Genomic DNA, 24,133 nt, shown 5'->3' with positions numbered 1-24,133 from the left:
GACCTGCCTTCACAGGTCTTTCCTGTTCATTCTGTCTAAAGAAACCACACCTCCCTCCAAGTACTCTCAGCCGTATCAATTGTTTATAAACTTCACAGTATTAGTTATCATAATCTATAATTAATCCTATTTATATATTTGCTTACTTATTGTCTGTCTTTCCCATGAAGATTTAAATTCCATAAAGTAAGAAGCCTTTTCTGTCTTGTTGACACTCTTCACAGCCATACTACAATTCTTATTTCACAGATTATATACAATAAATATTTCATAAATGAATGACCAATTGAAAAATTGACTGAATTAATTAGTGAATGGGTAGAAATTTTCTAAAAAATTCTGCTCTGTTATGTACAGTATAACCTTTTAAGTCTTGATTTGCTCCGATTACATTGGTATAAAGAAAACAAATAAATACAATCATGATTTACAATTAATCATACTCCTTCTATTTTGTAAGAAGAATCAGTCAACCCTCCAAGTTTAACAGAATAGGATAAAATCAAAGAGGAATACATCTACACTGACAAGACTGAGGATTACATATTACTGTCATTTTATAAAAGAAATAAATATGTACCTTAATTCATATTTGCTTTTTTGAAGAAAAGCTTTAGTTCCTTGATCAGCTTAGCAACTTGTTGCTCAGCAAAATTTCATCCCTTCAGATACAGTATGTAAGGGCATTTCGCAAATTAACCTTAGCCCATTGTCTCTATTATCATTAAAGGATGTAACTTATCCTCCCTATAGTCTTATACCTAACTCATATGTTAATCATTTTAATTGAGTTATTACCTTTGAATTCATGTAAGAAGGTCAACATTCTACTCTAATCACCTTTTCCACATAGAACTACATCTAAACAGAAAACTAAATACACATGATTGTACTTCCTTACTTTCTTATTTGTCAACTAATTTCATAATCCAATTAGGCAACCTTGCATCAAAGAACTTGAGTTTGTCTTTGAAGTAAATCCCTATTCCCTAGGATTGCCTATCACTGGTGTATTCTCAGTCATTACTTTGCTGATCTCTGACAACTCCCTTTCATATCCTTGACAAACAAAAATATCCATGATGATATTATGGCTTGCAAGCTTCCGATTATGAATTTATTTTACAGTCTTTCAAATGTATCTCCTTTCTTTATTCCAGTGTTAGTAACCAAGATCAAATCTTCAGTAAAATGTATCAGGACTACTGAAACACTATACTAATTGGTTTTCCTATTTCCAGGTCAGAAGCACTCAAACTATTCCAAGACCCTCTGGAGTGGAAGTCTCAAAACATTTTGGGTTGCTTGCTTCTTGGTAAAAAGAATCCAGTGTGTGTACTCACAACATATGTGCATTTATTTATTTATAAGTGATGTGCTTGTTTTATTTTACTAATGCATAATGTACATTTTTAAATATATAAAAAGAAACTTAAAAGGTGAAGTAAAAATAAATAGAAATTCCAATATTTTATTCCTGAAGCCCAGTGACTCATAGATGTCTGCCCCAGGATGGTGATTAGATGACTCAAAAGTCTGTAACTCCTTATATTTTATATGGGCACACACAGTATTCAAGTTATCTATGGCCTCTTAAGATCCAGTGACTATATCACACTGCCCCGATAGATTTTTCTAAAACATAGATCTTATATTGACACCTCCTTTCCAAAATTCTGCAACAGTTTGATAGATTACAGTCTCTCTTCTTTGGTTAGCAAACATAATTCTACAAAATCCAAGGCCAAATTTTGTAGTGTGAAATCTCCTAACAGGCTTGCCGACCAAATGGAAGACACCCTTTTCTCCAGCACACTGTTCACGCCACGCTTTTCTATTCTTTTGTGTCTACTTCTGTATGAAGCAAACTACCACTCATATTTAAGTAGTAATTCCAGCTACCATCTATTACTTAATTTGGGCTACACATGTTCATTATCTCATTAAGTACTCACAACATTGCAAGATAGGTATTTAAGTTTCAATTTAGAGAACAGACAGAAGAGTAAGCTATAAATCATAAATTGTATTTTACCAAATGTGACACATTTGTTGTTGTCGTTTTGTTTTTAGTTTTTGTTTTTGTTTGTGACAGGTCTTGCTCTTTCACCCAGGCTGGAGTGCAGTAAGTGACATGTTCACAGCTTACTGCAGCCTCAATCTCCTGGGCTCAAGCAATCCTCTTGCCTCAGCCTCCTGAGTAACTGAGACTACAGGCACACACCACTACACCCAGATATATTTTTTTATTTTTCATTTTTGGGGGGCAGCTATGTTGCCAAGGCTGATCTCGAACTTCTGGCCTCAAGCGATCCTCCCACTTCACCCTCTTGAAGTGCTGGGATTGCAGACATGAGCCACCATGCCCAGCCCAAATATTACATATTCGAATTCAAACCTAAGCCTGAGTAATTCAAACTTGAGTGTGTTACCACCACACTGACGTGCTTCCATACCTCAAGTTCCATCTCAATCGTAAAGCTTGTCTTGATACTCTAGCCCTACCCCCACTTCATTCCTCTCTAGGCAGCATAAGAAGTTATCTGTCCTGTTTTTTAATCTCTTTATTCATACTTATTTGAGTACTTTGTATGTGTGTCTGTGTCTTTTCTCCCACCTATTATAAACCACTAGAAATAAGTACTTTAAATTTTTCTGGCTTATCTATCTGGCATTTAACAAATATTCATAGATACTTTTAATAATATAATAAATTATTGTTTGATTGTGAATTGATTTACATTTTATTTTTAAACAATGGTCAGTGTCCTGATTTTCATATTTCTGTATCCAAGTTCTTATGACCAAGAGAAGCAGATGTTATCAATACTTGGGATCATTTCTCATCCAAAAGTAGTGACAGAGAATGAACTAAATATTTTCAAAAAACATTTAAAATCTACAAATTTCCTCAAAGTCAATGACAAAAGTAGAGAGTTGACATATGCTCTCATACTAATAATTCTGAAAATCTTCCTACTTCCAACATTTTACATGCTTTGGATAGATTGTAGAAAATGCATACCATAAATCATAGCAGAGGTTGTATTACTGTCTTACCTTTTTTTTTTTTTTTTTTTTTTTCAGACGGAGTCTCGCTCTGTCGCCTGGGCTGGAGTGCAGTGGTGCTATCTCGGCTCACTGCAAGCTCCGCCTCCTGGGTTCACACCATTCTCTTGCCTCAGCCTCCCAAGTAGCTGGGACTACAGGCGCCCGCCACCACGCCTGGCTAATTTTTTTGTATTTTTAGTAGAGATGGGGTTTTACCATGTTAGCCAGGATGGTCTCAATCTCCTGACCTCGTGATCTGCCCGCCTCGGCCTCCTGAAGTGCTGGGATGACAGGCTTGAGCCACCACGCCTGGCCTACTGTCGTACTTTTTTTAGGATTTTATTGGTTTATTTTATTTTAAGTTCCCGGGTACATGTGCAGGATGTGCAGGTTTGTTACACGGGTAAACACGTGCCATGGTGGTTTGCTGCACCTATCAACCCATCATCTAGGTATTAAGCCCAGCATGCATTAGCTATTTTTCCTGATGCTCTCCCTCCCCCAAGTCCCCCCACAACCAGGCCTAAATGTGTGTTGTTCCCCTTCCTGTGTCAATGAGTTCTCATTGTTCAGTTCCCACTCATAAGTGAGAACATGCGGTGTTTTAAGAATAGATAAACAGAAAAATCTGAATTGAAGCATATTCTGCAAAACAACTAACCTGGACTTTTTAAAAATATCAATGCCATGAAAGACACAAAACAGCTGGTAAACAATTCTAAATTAAAGTATACTAAAGAGAAATGGATAAATGTAATATGTGAGGGGAGGGAGCTACATTAATGAAACAATTAGTAAAAATTCCTAAATATCCTGAGGTCATCATTGAACTGTCTGATCAGTGATCTGAAATGTTTGTTCTTAGGTGAAATACACGTTAAAGTATGTTAGTTAATGAGTTTGGTAAGCTTCTGAAACTACTTTGTAAGTGGTTCTAAAAATAAGATAGGATAAATAGAAAAAAATGAGAGAAAGAAATAGTAAAGAAGGAAGGAAGGAAAGAAGAAAGGAAGGGAGGGGGGAAGGAGGAAGGCAACAAGGGAGAAATAAAGGAAAAAATGACATTTTTCGAGAAATATATAAAGCTAGTATGGTAAACTGTCAACAACTGATGAATCAAGGTAAGTGTACATGAGTTGTCACTGTACTATTATGGCAAATTTTATGTACGTGAAGATTTTTCAAAGTGAAACTGAAAGGATCAAAAGAGAAGGTGGTGTTAGTCATCCATATCACCCACAGGAGAAATTCAGTATTATAGTGTGCATTATGTGGTTTGAGCAGCATGGCCCCCCAGTGGGCTCTGTACGGTGAGTTAGCAGCAACATGCACTGGAAACTGAACAAAATCATCAGAGAGACAGGGTTATTTTATATTTAAGAGACAAACCTTGAAAAAGGTCCACCAAAATCAAACTTTTCTGACTTAGCATTGTTAATATTGAACTTAACTTTCCAACTGTAATTATTTAAGTTAATGGTTTTCTGCGCATATTACTGGTGTCCAATAATAAAGCAAAATCATTGGTGAAGAATGTGATGCTCATGCCATGTTTATGGCAGGAAAAACATGATTTAATTTTTTAAACTAGAAAATATTTAGTTTTTTTTTTAACTTTTTAAGTTCAGGGGTACATGTGCAGGTTTGTTACATAGGTAAACTTATGTCATGGGGATTTGTTGTACAGATTATTTCATCACCCAGATATTAAGCCTAGTGTCCATTAGTTGTTTTTCCTAATCCTCTCCTCCAACCTTTCCCTCCTCCAACCCTCCACCCTCTGAAAAGCCCCAGTGTGTGTTGTTCTCCTCCATGTGTCCATGCGGTTACATCATTTAGCTACCACTTCTAGGTGAGAACATGTAGCATTTGGTTTTCTGTTCCTGTGTTAGTTTGCTAAGGATAATAGCCTCCAGCTCCACCCATGTCCCTGGAAAGGGCATGATCTCATTCTTTTTATGGTTGCATAGTATTCTATGGTGTGCATGTACCATATTTTCTTTATCCAGTCTATCACTAATGGACATTTAGGTTGATTCCATATCTTTGCTATTGTGAACAGTGCTGCAATGAACATATGCATGCATACGTCTTTATAATAGAATTATTTATCCTTTGAGGAATTGCTGAGTCGAATGGTATTTCTGTCCTTAGGTCTCTGAGGAGTTGCTATATGTTAAATAAAAGGGATTGGAACAATTCAATTTTATACAAGATTCAAATGTAAGCTAACCTATTGGAAATATTTATTACTTACTTATTTAGAATTGCTTATTTTCTAGGCTTTGTAAAGAAAAAAAAATCCTGAAATCTATGCTGAAGTATTATAATTTGATCCATGCTGATTTTTGTACAATAACAAAAGCTAATAATAATTTAATAAACTTTCCATGCTTCTAGGATATTCTTGGCTATGGTTCCTCTAAATAGCAGACTTGAGTCCAAGAAGCCTACAACTTTCTTTTAAAAAATTATGCTTATTGATATGACCTTGAAAAAAAAAAAACTAACAGAATTAATCTTAACACAAGCTGGATTACACCTGGAGCCAAACTGATAAAACAACTGAGTAATATGGAGTGACTACAATGGATTAATGTTAATATGTTACTATCAGTGCATAATATCTAGGGCACATACTGTATGTACAGTATTTGGTTGTTCTAGCTTTGAGAGTAAAGCCTCCTTGAGAGTGAATAATCCACTGGTATATCATTAACATCTTTAACATCAGCTTGCTTATAGAGTTAGACATCTCCTTATTCTACCTTAGCTTCTTAAAATTCTGATTCAGTACAAATAGACTCTAGATAGCTATACCAAAGAAAAGAAATTAGAAAAGTTATATCTTTCACCAGAATCTAAATCATACATTTAATAAGCACAACTTGTACTAATAGGTAAGTAGCCAATAACACTGCCACCACTGCTTGAGGGAAAATTCAAATTCAGTCTAGACTGGTCCCACAGGTGATTAGCTAACAATATTAAGTGTGCTTATGGGTAAATTTAGTTACAAGTTTTACTCTATAATCTTGGAAACTATTTCTAGAGAAACATTCCATGAGAAATCTATCTTCCAATGATCTTCTAATGATAAAATTCTAGCAAAATATTGTAAATTGTGTCAGTTGAAACCACCTTAAAATAAATGACAAGACAAAGAATCTATTACATTTTTTCAGGATAATGGTTAAGACTAGTGTGGTCCTATAAAATATCTGAATCATCAGCAACACAAATATTATTTTATTATATATGCCTTAAAATTGTGAAACTATTTTTCTAAGATTACAAGTTAAATAGCTTTTTTGACTTCTAATAAAATTTGTATTATCCCCAGTTTAAAAAAAAGGCTTAAATTGAAAAATAATAGGATATTTATTTTGCAACATGCAGTTTTCTTAAAGATAAACATTCAACTGAAGGAAGAGGCCAAAAATACAAGGTTCTTTTTTTTTTCATTGCCATACCTATCAGCAATAAATCACCAGAAAAAAAAAATCTTCACATAAACGTGTATCTCAGCAGCCTACATGGCAAGATAATAAATAGCTATTTACTTACCTTTCAAAATTTGGAGTTTGTTGACCCCAAAAACATACCAATGAAATTACATTTGAATAATTAATTTTAGTAATCATGTGGCAATGCAGTGTAATCAGGATGAACTGATACTAATTTCAATTTTTTAGCAAAAAGGCTACAGGCTTCAGATCCAGACCCACTTGGACTGAAATCATGTCTACTAGCTTTGCAACTTGTAGTGACCTGGTCCCCTCCTGCTTCCGCATATCTTAGAGCTAACAGTGACAAGGATATTTTCACAACTCCCTAATGATGTAGGGGACTATAGCTGAGCTACAGCACACTTCTTCTGAGTAATGTGAGGACATAAAGAGATTTGATAAGACCTCATGCTCAGAAAATCTTTATGAAACTCTGCCCTGCTGAAAGTTAATTCAGCTTGATTATGCTCATTCTGGGACAGTACACTTGGCCTATTAATTTTTAGGTATACAAATAGTATTTTTCAGATATATAAAAGAACAAAGGAAGCTGTATTCATGATGTAGTGTAAGGAGCCAGAGAAGTTTTCCATTTCTCCTTCATTTTTAAATAAGCATGTGCAAGGCTGACTTCTCCATAATGAGATTAGTTTGAGAAATTGTTAAATGTTCTCATTTTCCTGCCAAAGAGCCCTCAGAAATTCACAGCTCATTAGAACCTTCAGAGTAGTTAATAAACAAAGCTTGATATTATTACCTAATTAAAATATATCTCATTTCAACATTTTATTGCTCACTATTAAGATTCTTCTGCTACAGAGGTTACATAAAAAATATTCTTCTTCTTTCTTTTAATTGCAAGTTTCACAGAGTAGTTCTTTTATACCAAAATACATAGAAATTACAGAAGGAAAGTCATGTCACCCAATCTAAGTTCATTTAAATAAGCTCTGAAACGATATTCTGAAAGCAAGTTTATCTAGGAAATCGACATCAGCATTTCTACTTTAATAGTTGTTTCCATCATATGCTACTGAGTCACAAATACCAATAAGAATTTAAATTTAAAATCCATCTATTAGGGCATTTTCTATATCCTTATAAATCTTTCACTAAAATATCTTGACATAGTGGAAGGAGCATTAGAAGGGGGACCTAGATGCTAGTCCTCATTCTGTCAGCTTCTACTAGTGCAACTCAGGAAAATCTACTCATTTACTTTGTAGCCCATTTTCTCTCTTTTAAAAAGTGGTTACAACAATACCTGCCTTGAACACCTCACATGATACTTACAAGGATAAAATGGATTGAACTCATATAAAATTTAATACAATTTTTTTATTTTACAGGCATTTCTTCTCATGGCTGTAAAGTGGTATAATGGGCCCTACTAGGACCCCTAGGAGAAAAGGTCCTAGTGTTTAAGTGAGAGTACATGCTTCAGGGAGGTCAAATAAGTGAAAACAGAAAAGTGTTTATTGAATTTGGTAAGTTTTTACCTTTATAAAAGAAGTTCAGTCTCAAGAATTAAAGTGGAGAGAGAGTCTATGAGCAAATATTCACCATGAATATATGAAAGTGATCTGGACAAGCCAAGTTATAGGATGGATGCTCTAATAGCATAAACATCAAAATAGAAAAAACTCTTCCATTAGAATGCAGGAGGGGGGAAGCATTGGGGAGCAAAGAGAATACTGCTCTTACTTCCAAGATGCATACACGTATGTTAGTAGAGACTACATGAGCAGCCTCAACGCGGGATTGCTCTAGGAGGTGTGTTATAGGTTCCATTTGAAGCAAAGAGGAGGAAAAAGAAGGATTTTCTCAACAGCCTAAGAATAGCGTAGAGATTATTTCTAATGAAAGGAAGAGATGAATGGGCAAATGAATTGGGGGAGAGGAAATAGTGGGTATAAGAGAGAAAAATAGATAACCTGAGTTTTGAGTACTGGTAATAAACAGTGGGCCGAAACAGTCTCAGAATTCTGAAGTGGATACTGTAGCTTTGAGGCTGTGACTGTGAGGCTGCAGATGCTTTCAGAGGCTTCGTGTTAAGAGAAGCCAGAAGCCCTGAAAGGGGAGTCCTTAATGACCCACACAGGATGAGGACCCATGTACTGCTGGGAATGTGTGAAACATGCACACAATTCTGACTCTGAGTTCCTCATTAAATATTAGTCAAAGGTTAAAAGGGTGCCCCTGAAGAACGCCAGTCAAAGGGATAGGGAATGTAGGATCAAGTTTTCTCAACACTCTAACAAAGTGGGCGACGTAGAAGTACTCAGTAGTCAAAAGAAGCCTGGCCTCCCAGTGGGTTAGCTGTGACCCAGAATTATGGAAATTTCTGCTTAGAAGAGCATATTGACCTGAGAAGATCATGGCTGATTTGTTTTTAAATATTGACATTTAATTATTTAAAGATTTTCTGACTTTTCAGTTCTAACAGTGCTCTTCTATAAATAGATAAAAGTGACAAAAGGAAAAAAGTACGAATATAAAATCATAAATTTCTTAGACTATTCATACTCTTTTCATAAGTTGAAACTCATCTTTAAACCAAGGCTTTATGTTATTGTTTTTTTTTACAAGTCCATGATAATATGATATTTGCCTAGAGCAATGTTCTCAATCCTGGGCAGGGAGTTTATATCAGAATTGCCTAGGGAGCTTTTTAAAATTACATCTTTTTTCTCTATCCTGAAAGTGTATTAAAATGGTACATGTCTGGTGGTGGGTGGGGGAAGACATTGCTAATGAGGAGCCTAGATTAAGCAGGCCATTGAAATTTATGTTGAAGAAATTCTCTGGGTGATTCTAATAATCTCCATCCTCATTCTCACCCCATCCCACCCCTAAAAACCACTAGCCTAAATGAAGTCAAATTCCTAAATGACAACCTTGCTCAAAGTCGGGGAAATCTGTGTAGTTAATGCAACCAGCAGAACACTAAGATTGCAGTTAGGAAAACCTACCCATGTCATAGTTCCAATTTCATAACTATTAGCCATACAATCCCAAACAAGTCATTTTTTGCATGTATAGCTTCATGGTACTCGGCTTTAAATTGATTGTTTTTAAGTAAACATTCTTTAAGATTCAACGATAGCATGAGATGGTTCCCTTTACTATTTTTTTCACCAATGATTTCATGTAAGTTCCTTCAGATAATCTCTGCGAAACTTGGTGATTTCTTCAGAACAAAAAATGATAATGTAAAGGACCTTTCTACAAAATAGCTCAAAACTTTCTCAAATATTAAGTAATTATGAGGAAATTTTTATTTAAGGGAGAAGCCAAACAACCCTGAATAATTTCCGAAGTGAAATCAACATCTGGGGCTCAAAGTCATGATTCTGCTTATTGAGCCTTAGATTATCTACCTGAAATTTGCACCCATGATTAAACCGGTACCGGAGTAATTCACATAATACCCTCTGCTTTTTTTTTTTTTTTTTTTAACATTTAAGTAGCCTTCAATTTTTCATGCAAAAGGGAAAGAGAAAATGTGTGAATAATCTAGAATCCTAATTATAACTACTAGCTCTATCTTCCTCCACTTAAAATGTATTGCTAAAAAGTAAAAGACTGCTCTGATCCTTGTTCTCTGTTCAAAATGCTAATGAAAGGTGAGGGTGTGATACACACAGGAGGAAGAAAAGGAATAAGGAATCAAATTCCACATAACAGTGTGTCTTAAGGACCTTCTTTTCTTTTCTTTTCTTTATTTTCTTCTTTTTTTGACATAGTATTGCTCTGTCACCCAGGCTGAAGTGCAATGGCACAATAATAGCTTGCTGCAGCCTCGATTTCTCCATCTCAAGCCATCCTCCCACCTCAGCCCCGTAAGTAGCTAGGACTACAGGCATACACCTCCACACCTGGCTAATTTTTTAAATTTTTTGTAGAGATGGGGTCTCATTATGTTGCCTAGGCTAGTCTCAAACTCTAGAGCTCAAACAATCCTTCCACTTAACCTCCCAAAGTGTTGGAATTACAGGCGTGAGCCACCATAACCAACTTAAAGACCTATTTTTACAACTGAAATTTAATGAATACGTGGTGTGCAAAATGTTTTCATTTGAATGAACCACAAAAGAAGTTTGTGTTTACTTTGATATCTGGAAACTAAAGTACACACTCTTAAAATGGGCAGTAATTCTAAATTCTACCTCAGGTACCTTACTACATGGTCAGAAACTATAGACTTACAGTCATTCAAAATATCTTTAGAACATCTATAACATTGTCTGCCAATTAAAAGACAAACTAAGATATACATTTGGCAATAGAGTGAAGCTTTAAAAAAATCTATTTTTTAATATTTTAAAAAACATTGAAGACTCTACTAAAACATGTCTATTTATATGGTTACTATTCTTAGACGTGAAAAAGAATAAATTTGAAACTGTATATTCATATTTGTATATATTAATATGTATACACACAGATACATTCTACATAAGAGAAAGCAACCATATATACTGTTTTATGTGTGGTTGAAGCTCCCAGGTGAAGGTGGTCTGAGGAGGATCAGAGATCCAGTACAGAACAACATGCCTCTAGTCAAATACTTGAAGGGAGAAGCTCTCAGGTATATCAGAGACATTGTTCTGTATGGCCTGAGAAATAAACCAATGAATGTGTTATACCTATGAGGAAATAAATTTTGACTCAAAAAATTATTTTAATTACAGAAATTAGAGCTCATCAAATGTGAAAAAATGGAATAGGACTGATTTCAAATTATTCTTACTTCTCTACCTATAAGGTTTGTGCTCGGTTTGAATTAATTTTATGATTAACAAAAAATAAATTTTTAAATAAATGTAATAATGGAATGAACTATCATGAAAAATGTTTCCTACTACCATCAGGATTTTACATAATAGGCTGAATGACTAATTGTAAAAAATCTGTAAAAGAAAAATGATTCTTGCTTGTCAAGAGGTAAGGTAAAAATGATTCTTGTTTGTCAGCTGGCCATCCTGCTTTGTCTGCCACTATGCTGATTTTAGCTCTGAAAGTTCCACATCCTTAGAAATCCCTCAGTCCTGGAAAAGCTCGAATTGTTGGCCACCCTACTTGAGTACATGGTTGAACTAGACAGCTAAAAGGCAATGGTCACATACAAATGAAGCTGGCCATGCCAGCTGTCACATAAGAACTGCCAACCAAAGTAGATGCAAAGAGTCATTACTGCCAAAAATTCCTGCTGTGCGGCAGCTAGGGGCCTGAAGGAATCAGAGAGCACTCCCCACACTGTAGCATTTGCCTTTAGATTTTACTGCTGCTTTTTTCCAGACAATTCAGTTCTGTTCAGCATTAATTGACATGGTCTATGAATTTAATCAAGACATTTCCCTGCTAAATCCCTCCAATGACTTCCCATTGCCCTTTGTATACAGTCCAATATCATTAGTAAGGCATCCAAGAAAGGCCTTCTATCATCTGGTCCCTGATTTCCTTTCCAGTCTCACCCACTGTCACATTGTTAGTTTGCTGTAATCCAGTAACCTTGATTATCTCTCCTTTCATCTGATATACTGCACCTTGTTATTCAGCATCTTTAATGATGCTATGTGGCCTCCACCCCCGATCTTTTGGCCTAGATAACTCCTTCCAGTTCTTCCTGTTGGCTCCACTTCATGGACATATCTCCTGACCTGTTCAAACCATAACAATAGTAAGTTCCCCTTTTCTGCTTACCTAGTATCTTGTTCATTCTCTTCGTAACATTTTGTTTTAATGGTAATAATTTTTCATATTAAATATATTTTAATTGTGTGTCTCCTTCGTTATACAGAAGAGTCTATGAAGGCGGGGATAATGTCTGTCTTATTCTTTGCTATATTCTGAGCACAAGCTGGGATGTTGAACCAACATGGTCACTATATTGTGGAGCTCAAGCTATACAGTGGTTGATCTAACATCACATGATACTAGAGCCAATTCAAAAAATCCAAGACATGTGGTTACTGAAGCTATGCGAAGCCTGTGATTTAGAATTAATAATTCTAACTCCTACTGCAACAAAATAAGATGTATTCCTGAAATCCCAGCCAAAATTCTTAATGCATATTCCCGGTGAGGTGGTGGTAATTAAGTGTCATAAGATTTAGTACTCTACTTCCTTTGGAAGTAACTTCTATTTGTTGGTCTGGGAACTCAACCACTCCTTTAATTATTGCATTCCCCAAGTCCCCTTCAATAAATACACAAAAGAACTTTGGGAGAATAACTCATCTGTAATTTGGAAATTGTCTATATAGTGTCCTCTGAATTCATCATGATTTATTATTTAATGTCATTATATAAGCATAAATTATTCCAATTTAAAGTAGAGGTCATTTGAAATATTTTTATGGTTATTAAGACTAGCAACAAATATCTCATTCTAAAAAGTGTAAGAAGCCAAATTGACTTCCTGTAAAATTCTATTTATAAGCTTTGAATGTTTAAAATTTTATGGTTTCAAATGTTTATGAAGTTGTTTCAAAATTTTTTTGCCTTAAACCATTTTTTCAATTTACTGATGATGTAGTTTATTAAAAACCCAATAATTGAATTTCACCAGAAGAGACTGTGAAATACTACAGTATATTTATTGTGAAGGCATAAAATAGTTTAAGTCCTTTCAGATAATACTGCCATATAGAAAATTATTTTTTATTATTGGAGAGTCTTAAAGTTATTTTTTTAAATGTGGTTATTAGGTCAAATATGACCATGGGAAATTCTGCATCTAATAAAGGCTTTAAAACCACATTTACTTAATAGAGATAAAGAATTTTACCTACTGAATTACACAGTCTCTAGTACTTGTTTGCACTTTTATTAATAAGCTATGCACTATGAGAACATTTTGTTGAAAGAAAAACAATACTGGATTATCTAAACAACCTTAACACAAATATGAATTTAAAGTCTCTTTTCAGGCCAGGCACGGTAGGTAGCTCATGCCTATAATCCCAGCACTTTGGGAGGCCGAAACAGGGATCACTGAAGGTCGGGAGTTTGAAACCAGCCTGGCCAACATGGTGAAACACTGACTCTACTAAAAACACAAAAGAAAAAAACAATTACCTGGGCCTGGTGGCATGTGTGTAATCTCAGCTACTCAGGAGGTGAGACAGGAGAATTGCTTGAACCTGGGAGGCAGAGGTTGCAGTGAGCTGAGATGGTGCCACTGCACTCTAGCCTGGGTGACAGAGCAAGACTCTGTCTCAAAAAAAATAAATAAACAAATAAAAAATAAAGTTTCTTTTCATAAAAAGTTAGTTCAAATTTTAGCCACATTTTTCTTCACTACCACTATATTATGTAATGTGGCTATCATTTTATAAATAAAAATGTATTAGGCCATCATAGTCATTTACTTGCCATAGGGACAAAAAAGAGAGAGAATCTATGACCCCACAAAGCTTACAGAATGAAATAAAATTACAGAAATGTCAACATATTAGATATTTGAGATTTGTTCTAAGGAGTTCTTGAGTACAAATAAGTAACCCAGCTATTTACCATAGCCTGAGGAAAGGGCAATTTCAGACCATTAAATACTTTCCACAGCTCAACCCAAATACAAACCTATCCCAGCAATGTCTGAGAATCCCAAACTGCTTTTCTCATATACTTCCCAAGATCCTAGAAAAGCCCTGACAAGAGCTTTTCTCCAAGTTCCACATCACCCTCCTAGCAGTGCAAAATGGAATTCAACTAGGAAGGGAAAGCTTTTGGCCTTCCTTTGTCTATCACTGTGCCTCTCCTCCCACTCATATTTTGTTGTCCATTCATACACTCACTTCTTCTACCAGACATTTATTCAGCAAACATGTACCTATTGTTTCCAAGGCAGCTTATAAGCATTGAAGACATAAGATAACACATGCTGTTTGTCCTTGGAGAACTTTCAATATAAAAGGGTCCACGGATAGGAAAGAGATAATTGCACCATATGAAAAGTGTTAAGACAGACTGTGGACAAGTGCCTAGCAAAGCAGAGAATGAGGTCCCCTCAGTCAAATTCAGGGAATTAGAGGATTTCTTAGGGGCTGTGATACTTTTACAGGGTTTTGAAAAATGAGTAGAAATTAAACAGAGGAAAATGAGGACAAAGGTGTTCTATGAATAGGAGTTAATATACACAACATCCAGGAGAAACAAAAGAGCATGCTGCTTTCAGAAAAATTTAAGTATTTGTTTATGTTAAGAGCAATGAAAATTTGGGGAAGACCGGTAGGAGACAAAACTAAAGAGACAGCAGGAGATTACAACGGGCCTGCATGCCAGGCTAAGGCATCTAAATATTACGATAAAAACTATGAAAATCAATTGGTTTTAAGCAGAGGAATGGCACAATCACAGTTAATTTTTGGAAAGATTACTCTGACAGCAGTGTGGAGAATGAACTAGAAGAGCTCCAAATAAACATTAGGAGACCTGTTAAGACAATTCTGCTATAATCCAGGCAAAAATAACAACAATCACAGTAACTAACATTTATGAAGCACACATTATATGCTGGATTCTATTCTTAATGATTTTATATGCATTAGCTTACTCAGTTCCACTACCACCCTACAAGTCAGGTCGTGTTCTTATTTTTACTTTAAATATTAGTCAACTTAAAAAAGTTCTTATCTTTACTTTAAATATTAGTCAACTTAAAAAAGATAAGTAACTTGTCAAGGCCCACATAATTAGTAAGCAGCTGAACTATGATTTGAACTTAGGTCTATCTAGCCTGGAATTTCATCACCATGCTCTAGGAATTAGTATCTGACCTTGAGGACTTGAGGAGTGAGACTAGAAATGTAATAAAAAAAAATATAGAAATATGAAAGATATATATGAATATGCATAATATATGAAACATATATGAATATATATGAAAGATATATATGTGAATATATATAATGTATGAAAGATACATGAATATATATGAAATATATAATGAAAAGATTTCTATAAAAGATATACAGATATATAATGAAAATATTTTATTACATATATGTAATGAAAGATATAGAAAGAAAGAGAGACAGAGGAAGAGAGATTGTTATATTATGAATAATTTAAATTCAGCTTAAATTTTGTAGCCCTGGAATGATTAAATATATCACAAAAATCAGTGAAATAGACTCCTCAGAAGCCTACTTACACGAAAAAATTGAGGAAATTCCTTAGAAAAAAAAGAGCCCACTTTGGAAATACAGAAATTCAAGGTGTAACTATGGCTGAAAGTGAACAAATCCAACACAGTAAGTGCTAATTGATTGGGAAACCAATTAGGTATTATTGATTGTTTATCTATTACTTAACTTTTCCTCTGGTCTATCCCTTAAGGATACATAGGGAAGCAATGTATCCTCCTCTCTTTCTTCATAGGACATACAAGTGCCAGGTATCCATCCCCTGGCTCCAGTGCAGTGCTGTGAGCAGAAGCATAGATGAGATAAGGGGTGGTGGTACAAATTCGCAGGAAGTGTGCTGGCCATAATGCCTGTGGGAGATGGCAGAAGATTATCAACGTCAGTAATAGGCAGTTATTCCCCAGCTAGAGGAAGATTATTTGGGCTCTGTCCAATTAGTTAGTGTAACATATTACAAAGTGAATCCAACAGAATAATCCCTAGGAACTGTAATCTCCTCATGCCTGGACCAACTGGTGAGTATAAAGGTGAGGAGAAAAGTTCATTTAGGCTCTAAAACTGTGTCTGATCTCTCAGGAAACCTAGCACGGACTGGTGCATAAAATGATTGGAAAATAATGACTGACAGCCTAGCCTGAGCAGCTAAGTCATCCCATATGTATAGGATGCAAGACATGGATAGTATCTTCTGCACATGCTACTTCTTCAAGTAAGTTCTCAGTGGTGAGTGGAGGTCTCACTGCTGGCTACAAGAGGTGTAGGTGATGTAAGTCAAAACTCTCCCTCCTGGAAATAATCTGTCATTACCAGTTGTGGGAGGTACATGAAATACTGCCAGGGTATTGATTTCCTTCTACTTCCCTAGTGTACCAGAAGGTGCCCCACATCTGTAGCCTGTCTCTGTGTCTGAGAGTCTGTCCCAGAAGAAATGGTGGAGCGGCCCAAGTCAAAAAACTTTTATATTTCTATTATTCCAAGTTGGGATTCTCAGGTATGGCACATAAAGAAATTTCAAGTATTTTACTAGAAAAAAAAATATAGCAGAGGTTCAACCTTAAGCCTAAGTTCTGTTTGTCCTAGGATTCAGCTGTATCTGGGCTTATTTGAAAGATAGGTTCTCCTAAGTCTGTCAAAGGTCTAATTAAATAAATAATCAGGAAACATTTTAACGAGAATTAATAACTTGAAAGACTTTGCTTATACAGCAATCATCAGGCATGCAGTGGCAATAATGAACTTTAACAGCAATCATGGTATCTCTAGTGTCCTAGACACCAAGCACCAGCATTCTTAGTACATTTTGTTTTGGGTTTCCACCATCTTAATGCAAATAACATGAACATCAGAAGTAGTAGAACATCAGAACATCAGTAGTAGGACATCAGAAGTAGAACATTTTTATAAGGCAGTAGCAGTGGCTCTGGGGGACTTCTGTAATATGATATTGCTGGCATAATTTACTATTAATGTCAGAAGCAATTGAAGATATAAGGAAAAGACGCCAGCTGACATCAGCAAAATAGCCACTATGGTTTGAATGTTTGTCCTCTCCCAAACTCACCTGAAATTTAATTGCCATTTGTAACAGTATTAAAAGGTAGTACCTTTAAGAGGTGATCAGGCCATGAGGCTTGGCCCTCATAAGTGGATTAATGCCATTATTGCATGGAGTGGATTTATTATCATGGGAATGGCTTTCTTATAAAAGAATGAATTCAGTCCCCTTTTATCTCTCTCTCTCTCTCTCTCACTTTGCCCTTTTGTCATGATGCTTTATGCCATGTTATGATGGAGCAAGAAGGCACTCACCTGATGCTGGCACCTTGATATTGGACTTACTGACCTCCAGAACTGTGGGACAAAAAAAATTCTGTTCATTATAAATCATCCAGTCTGTGGCATTCTGTTATAACAGCTCAAAATATACTAAGGCAACGATGGAACAGAAGTTTTCAGCTCCTATCCTCTCTTGGAAACATCAATTTAAAACAACTATTCATGCAAAAAAAATGCTTTTATAAGAGCTAAAGAATCCAGATGAGAAATTACAGCATCTGGATGGAAGACAGAAATTTTTAAAAATGAAGAATTGAAGAAGGTAGCAAGGATAGCTTTTCATTACCTATGTCACTCCTCCCCTAAGCCTGGGAAACAGAGAGGGAGGAGAGATACACTCTGTAGAGGGAAGGAGGGAGTAGAGTGAGCACACAACTTTGCCTCAGACCCTAGCACCAGACTTGCCCCAGTGGATCCTGGTGCAAGGCTGGCCTCTGTGGCCCCAGGTTCCAGGCTGGCCCCTGTGGACACAGAATCTAGGCCTGCCCTAGCATCGGGCCAACCCACAAGCCCAGCCTTTAAGCCAACCACAGGATAAGGCAGGCTCAAATGGAACCAGGCTCTAAGCCCACCCCATGGACCCAGGATCCACATGTTCCCCCATTGACCCAGATGCCAGGCCCACCCCAGTGAATGCCAGGACCAGGTCAACTGCCACAGACTCAGGACCAGATCCATTTCCAAAGACCCAGAATCCAGGTTCACCCCAACCCCAGGCTGGCAGCCCTAGACTGGGGTTCAAAGCCCACCTATGTGTCAGGTTGGCCCATGTGGACCCAGGCTTCAGGCCTGCTCTCACAGACCCACACACACGAACAACTGATCCGAGGACTACACTGGATGCCCTGCCTAGAATATCTAAGCAGATTGAGTGCTGAAGTGCTTTTCCTGTTAAAGCCAGTATGTAAAGACTGGAAGAGGTGTCTACTTCGAAAGGGCAATTCAAGGATCAAAAATAATCAGGGAAATATGACACCACCAAAGGAACAAAATAAAGCATCAATAACCAATCCCAAAGAAATGAAGATCTACAAATTGCCTGCCAAAGAAATTCAAAATTATTTTCTCAGTGAGCTACAAAAGATAGACAACTAAATAAAATCAGGAAATAAATAAATGAACAAATGAGAAGTTCAAAACAGAAACAGAAACCATTAAGAAGAACCTAACAGAAATTCTGGTGCTAAAGAATACATTGACAGCACTGAAAAATTCCACAGAGGGCTTCGACAGCAGATTCAATTAAACAGAAGAAAGAATCAGCAAGCTCAAATACAGGTTATTTAATGTACCCAGTCAGAGGAACAAAAATAAAAATGAGTGAAAAACATTGAAGAAAGGCTTATGGCTTTGAGACACCATCAAGAAAACTAGCACATGGATTATGGAAATTTCAGAAGGAACAGTGAAGGAGAAAGGCACAGAGAGCTTACTTAAAGACATAATGTCATCTTCCCAAATCTAGAGAGGAAACTGAACTCCTAGATCCATGAAGCCCAAAGAACCCCAAATAGACTGAATGTGTGAAGATCTTTATCAAAAAAAATTGTAATAAAATTCTTGGAAATCAAAGAAAAATAATTTTAAAAGCAGCAAGAGAAAAGCAATTCATCACATAAAAGGGAACTCAGCAGAAACCTTGTACACTAGGAGAGAGTGGGATAATATATCCAAAGTGCTGAAAGAAAAAAAATGGCCAATAAAAATTTATACCCAGTGAGTCTGATTTTCAGAAATACACAAGAAATAAGGACTTTTCCAGATAAACCAGAACCTGAGATAGTTTATTACCCCTAGACCTGCCTTACAGGAAACCTTAAAAGGAGTTTTATAAGTCCATACTACTACGATACTAAGACACTACTACTGGATCATATCATAGCTCTATTCTATTGTTTTCCAGAATCTACATACTGTTTCCCATAATGGTTGCAACAATTTACATTATCACCAATAGTATGCCAGTGTTCACTTCTCTCCACTTCCTTGCCAACAATTATCTTTCATCTTTTTGATAGTAGTCATTCTAACACATGTGAGGTGATAACTCACTGTAATTTTTAATTGCATTCCATGCTGATTAGTGATGTTAAGCATTTTTTCATATATCTGTTGGCTATTCTATATAATGTCTTTTGAGACGTGTCTATTTAGGTCCTTTCCCCATTTTAAAAAACTGGGTTTTTTGTTTTTTTTTTTTTTTGCTATCGAGTTTCTTAATATATTTTAGACGTTAACTCCTTATCCAATGATACTAAGCCCAGTCAGTGTAATCCCTACATAAATTCCAGTGCCTTTATTCACAGAAATAGAAAAATGACTCTAAAACTTATATAGAACCATAAAAGATCCCAAATGCAAACGTGAGCAAGTAGAACATAGCTGAGTGCATCACACTACTTGATTTCAAACTATCCTACAAAGCTATAGTGATCAAAAAAGTATGGTATTGGCATAAAAAATGACCTACAGACCAATGAAACATAACAGAACCCAGAAATAAGTCCATGCATTTATGGTAAATTTATCTTCAACAAAGTTGCCAAGGATATACAATGCAGAAAGGATAGTCTCTTCTATAAGTGTTGTTGGGAAAACCGGATCTTGTCCCTTGGAAGGATGATTTTCAATCATTATCTCACACTATATGCAAAAATCAACTCAAAATGAATCAAAGACCTGAAACTATAAATCTGCTAAAAAGAAAACAGCGTGAAAAACTATGCTACTTAATATGTGCAATGATTTTTTTGAATATGACTTCAAAAACACAGGCAACATAAGCAAAAATAGGCAAATAGGATAGCATCAAACTAAAAAGTTTTTGCATGGCAAAGGAGACAATAGAGTGAAAAAATGGCCTATAGAGTGGGAAAAAATATTTGCAAGATGTTAACATCTAAAATATATTAAGAAGCTCAACTCAATAGCAAGAAAACAAATAACCCAGTTTTTTAAATGGGCAAAGGACCTAAATAGATATTCTCAAAAGACATTATACAGAATAGTCAACAGATATATGGAAAAAAATGCTAACGTCACTAATCAGCACGGAATGCAAATCAAAAGCACAATGAGTTATCAGCTGACACCTGTTAAAATGACTACTATCAAAAAGATGAACAATAACTGTCGGCAAGGAAGTGGAGAAAAGGGAGCACTGGCATAACTATTAGTGGTAAGGTAAATTGGTACAACCATTATGGGAAAGAGTATATAGGTTCTTCAAAAAATTAAAATGGAGCTATGGTGTGATCCAGTAATCCCATTTTTAAGTATATATCCAAAGAAAATAACATTGGTATATTGAAGAGATATCTGCACTCACATGTGCATTGTAGCGTTCTTCACAATAGCCAAAATATGACATCAGCCTGTGTCCATTGACAGATGAATTTGGATAACAACATTATCCAGCCTTAAAGATAGAAGAAATCTTTTCATTTGCGACAATATGGATAAATCTGGAGGACCTTATGCTAAGAGAAATAAGCTAGGCACAAAAAGACAAACATCACATGATCCCACTTATATGTGGAATGTAAAAATCAAATTCATAAAAGCAGAGAGTAGAATGGTGTTTGCCAGGGGCTGGTGGGTGTGGGGATTGGAGAAATGTTGGTCAAAGGGTAGAAAGTTTCAGTTTTTCAGGATGAGTTAGTGCTGGAGATGTAATATAAATCATAGTGACTGTACTTAATAATACTGCATTGTATACTTGGAATTTCCTAAGGGAGTAGATCTTAAATGTTCTCAGCACACACACAAAAAAAAAACAACAACAAACAGTAACTACCTGAGATGATGGATATCTTAGTTAGCTTGTGGTAATCATTTAACAATGTAAATCAAAACATCATTTTATACCATGTAAATATATATAATTTTCATTTATCTATTAAACCTCAATTGCACTGAGGGGAATAAGAAGCTAATAACAGATTGATCTCAAAGGAGTGTCAAGTTCTTGAAATAACTGTGAGACACTCACTGGAAATACCAGGAAAAGTTCAGGAAGAACTTGAAGGAAACCAGAAATTTCCAAGATTAAATAGGTCCAGTGTCAAAGAAATAGTGTTTTATGATTTACTGTGTAGCCTTGAAAGGAGAAAATAACTGTTGGATAATTGTCTGAAATGACTCCAACTTTTTGACTTAGGTTGTAGGTAGATGGTGATGCTAGTCACCAAGGCAAAACACCTAATACAAAGGACAAATTTTGGGCAGGATAAGGAGGTATGGCTAGTTTGGGAGATGATAAACTTAGCTTTTAATTTGAGCACTGCACATTGTACAAATAGAGAATGTTCATTATGTAGCACATAATAGTCTCGATCTCAGAAGAGCAATCAGTAATTCCCAACAGAAAAAAACAAAAAGTGCTGATTAAACTTGGCTTTATGAGTTTATTGAATATGATGAGAACATTCCTTGGGAAGTGGTGGAAATGGAAGCCAGATTTTTATGTGCTGAGGTGTGACTGTTTGGTGAAGAACAGTAAACTACTATTTTTTTTTCCTTCTTTCATTTTTTTTTCAAAAATCTTAACTAAAAGAATAATGATAGGACACAGGAAAGGTCAAAAATATTTCTAGGTTGATTTATTACAAGTAGAATGAGGGAGAACTGGAAAGTGAAAACAAAACGCTATATACATAAATGGGTACTGACATCCGACAACTTGAATTTGGGGTAGAAATAAAGGGAATTTTCAAAGCTATGAGCCAAAATGCCAAGTCAATTTAGGCCACCCTCAGAGTGAGGCTGCTATGGTAGCACATTCCTCTTCCACATTTCAAGCCTCTTTGTGCCTCAATATTTATTCTTTCCAAGGAGAAATACACATTCCAGCAGACCTTCAAAGTAGAATGGCCCACATGCTTTGGTTGCTTAACAGAACTATGACACAGAGATTGAAAAAAGCTTTAGAGGTATTGTCTATCTTATATATCTAGATACTTTGTGATTCCTAGTTGAAAGAAAGCAAAAGAATAACAATCCTAAATATATGGCACATATTCACAAGAACAGTATATTGAAATACAGACATGGTAAACTCAGTGTAGCTGATGCTGCCAATGCTCCATCCCTTACCCCTCATCCCACTTGTGTGCTTTGGTAATGGTCACATAGAATTTTCAGCCCTCTGACAAGTTTACATCTCAAATGTATCACCTCTCTTATCATTCTGCTCAGCCACAAGTAGCCATTTTCTGGAGTTAATAAACCTGAAGCAACCTCCAAAGAAAGGAGATACTAACAAATATATCAATGCCTCAGCTTGCCAATCTTTGTAGACTGATTCTGAGTGTGTTGCATATGGTTTCTCAAAGTGTCCCTAGTAGGTTTCAGTCCCTGTTGCCCATGGGAGTAATCCACTTATTAAAGCACCTTTCATTGGTTTTTCTTTTTTCTCCATTTCAGTTTTTCCAATTCCTCACTTGGGCATGCTGGGATCTTCCAAATAAACTCCTTGCACACAAATACTTGCCTTAGGGTTTGTTTGGGGGGCAAACCCAAATTGAAAAACTGGGTAACTCATCATCTGGGGATCTAGCTTTAAGAAAACAATTAGAAATATTGTGCAGGGGGACAATGATAAACAAAGATTGGTCACTGTGGTTTTAGTCAGGTGACCCAATATTCCTCAAATCTATCAATGAAGTCCCATTAATATTGACATTTCAATCCAAATACCTAAACCATGCTAGCTCTGAGCTCTTCAAAAATACTTGTTTAAGTACAAAAGTAGAGCTTGCATTTGCCTCCCGATTACTCAGAGTTGTCACTGTGAGGTTTTTCTCTGACTTTATTGCTTGGCTGGCCTCCGTTGTCCTGAGCTGTGGGCCCTGCACTTTTTCCATCACCAGTGCTCACCAGTAATACTGCAGCTCCTTCTCAGTCCCCTCTTGAAGCCAGGAAACTAATGTCAATGTGGAGTTACATGGCAGATTTTGAGAGTATTACCTGGATATCAAAGAATTACCAATAGAGTCCTTCAGTTGAAACACACAGCACTTCCTCTCCTTTCCTTCAAAGCACACAGATCACAGAGCATCTGGATTGAAAAAGTTGTTGACACCAGCTCTCCCATTAAATCCAAAAACCATGAGGCCATGTTGCCGAGGCAGCTGAATTGCAAATACATATTAGACATTCAGTTTGATAGAGATACTCATTTCATTTCCAAGCCTAGTTTGTTGAGCAGGCTTTAGACATCCCCACACCTCCAATCTATCACACAAATCACAGATGTATTCATAGATACACACTTGCACACACATACAGATCTACACAACAAAAACCTAAACACACACGTACACACAAATACACACGCATACTCACACACAAACAGGCATGCACATATGCATATACATACATACATATATATAAACACGATTCAAGGGTGGTTTTTTTTTTTTTGGAGGGATGTTGTTGCCATCATGGTTTTCTACCCTTTATGAGATCCCTCAAAATTGAAAATTAGTGGATATAAATATTCCCCTTAAGTAAGGAATGTCACCTATCTTAAAGCTCCAGCCACATCTCAGCTTTGATACAGAGTTCCTGTTAAAATGAGAGGAA

General features: G+C 36.0%; 1 long non-coding RNA gene across 1 annotated transcript in view; it reads right to left on the bottom strand.

Moving 5' to 3' along the window:
• Nucleotides 1-15,544: 15,544 nt before the first annotated feature.
• Nucleotides 15,545-24,133, bottom strand: part of LOC105377975 (uncharacterized) — a 295,277-nt gene continuing 286,688 nt past the window's right edge. Inside the window, exons 3-4 of the long non-coding RNA NR_134600.1 lie at nucleotides 17,522-17,563; nucleotides 15,545-16,062 (exon numbers count right to left, since the gene is read on the bottom strand). This is a non-coding gene — a long non-coding RNA (uncharacterized LOC105377975). The remainder of the gene's footprint in view (nucleotides 16,063-17,521; nucleotides 17,564-24,133) is intronic.

The sequence above is a fragment of the Homo sapiens genome, chromosome 6 (genome assembly GCF_000001405.40).
Source record: "Homo sapiens chromosome 6, GRCh38.p14 Primary Assembly".
Lineage (NCBI taxonomy): Eukaryota > Metazoa > Chordata > Mammalia > Primates > Hominidae > Homo > Homo sapiens.
This window is presented reverse-complemented; position numbering and strand designations above follow the sequence as displayed.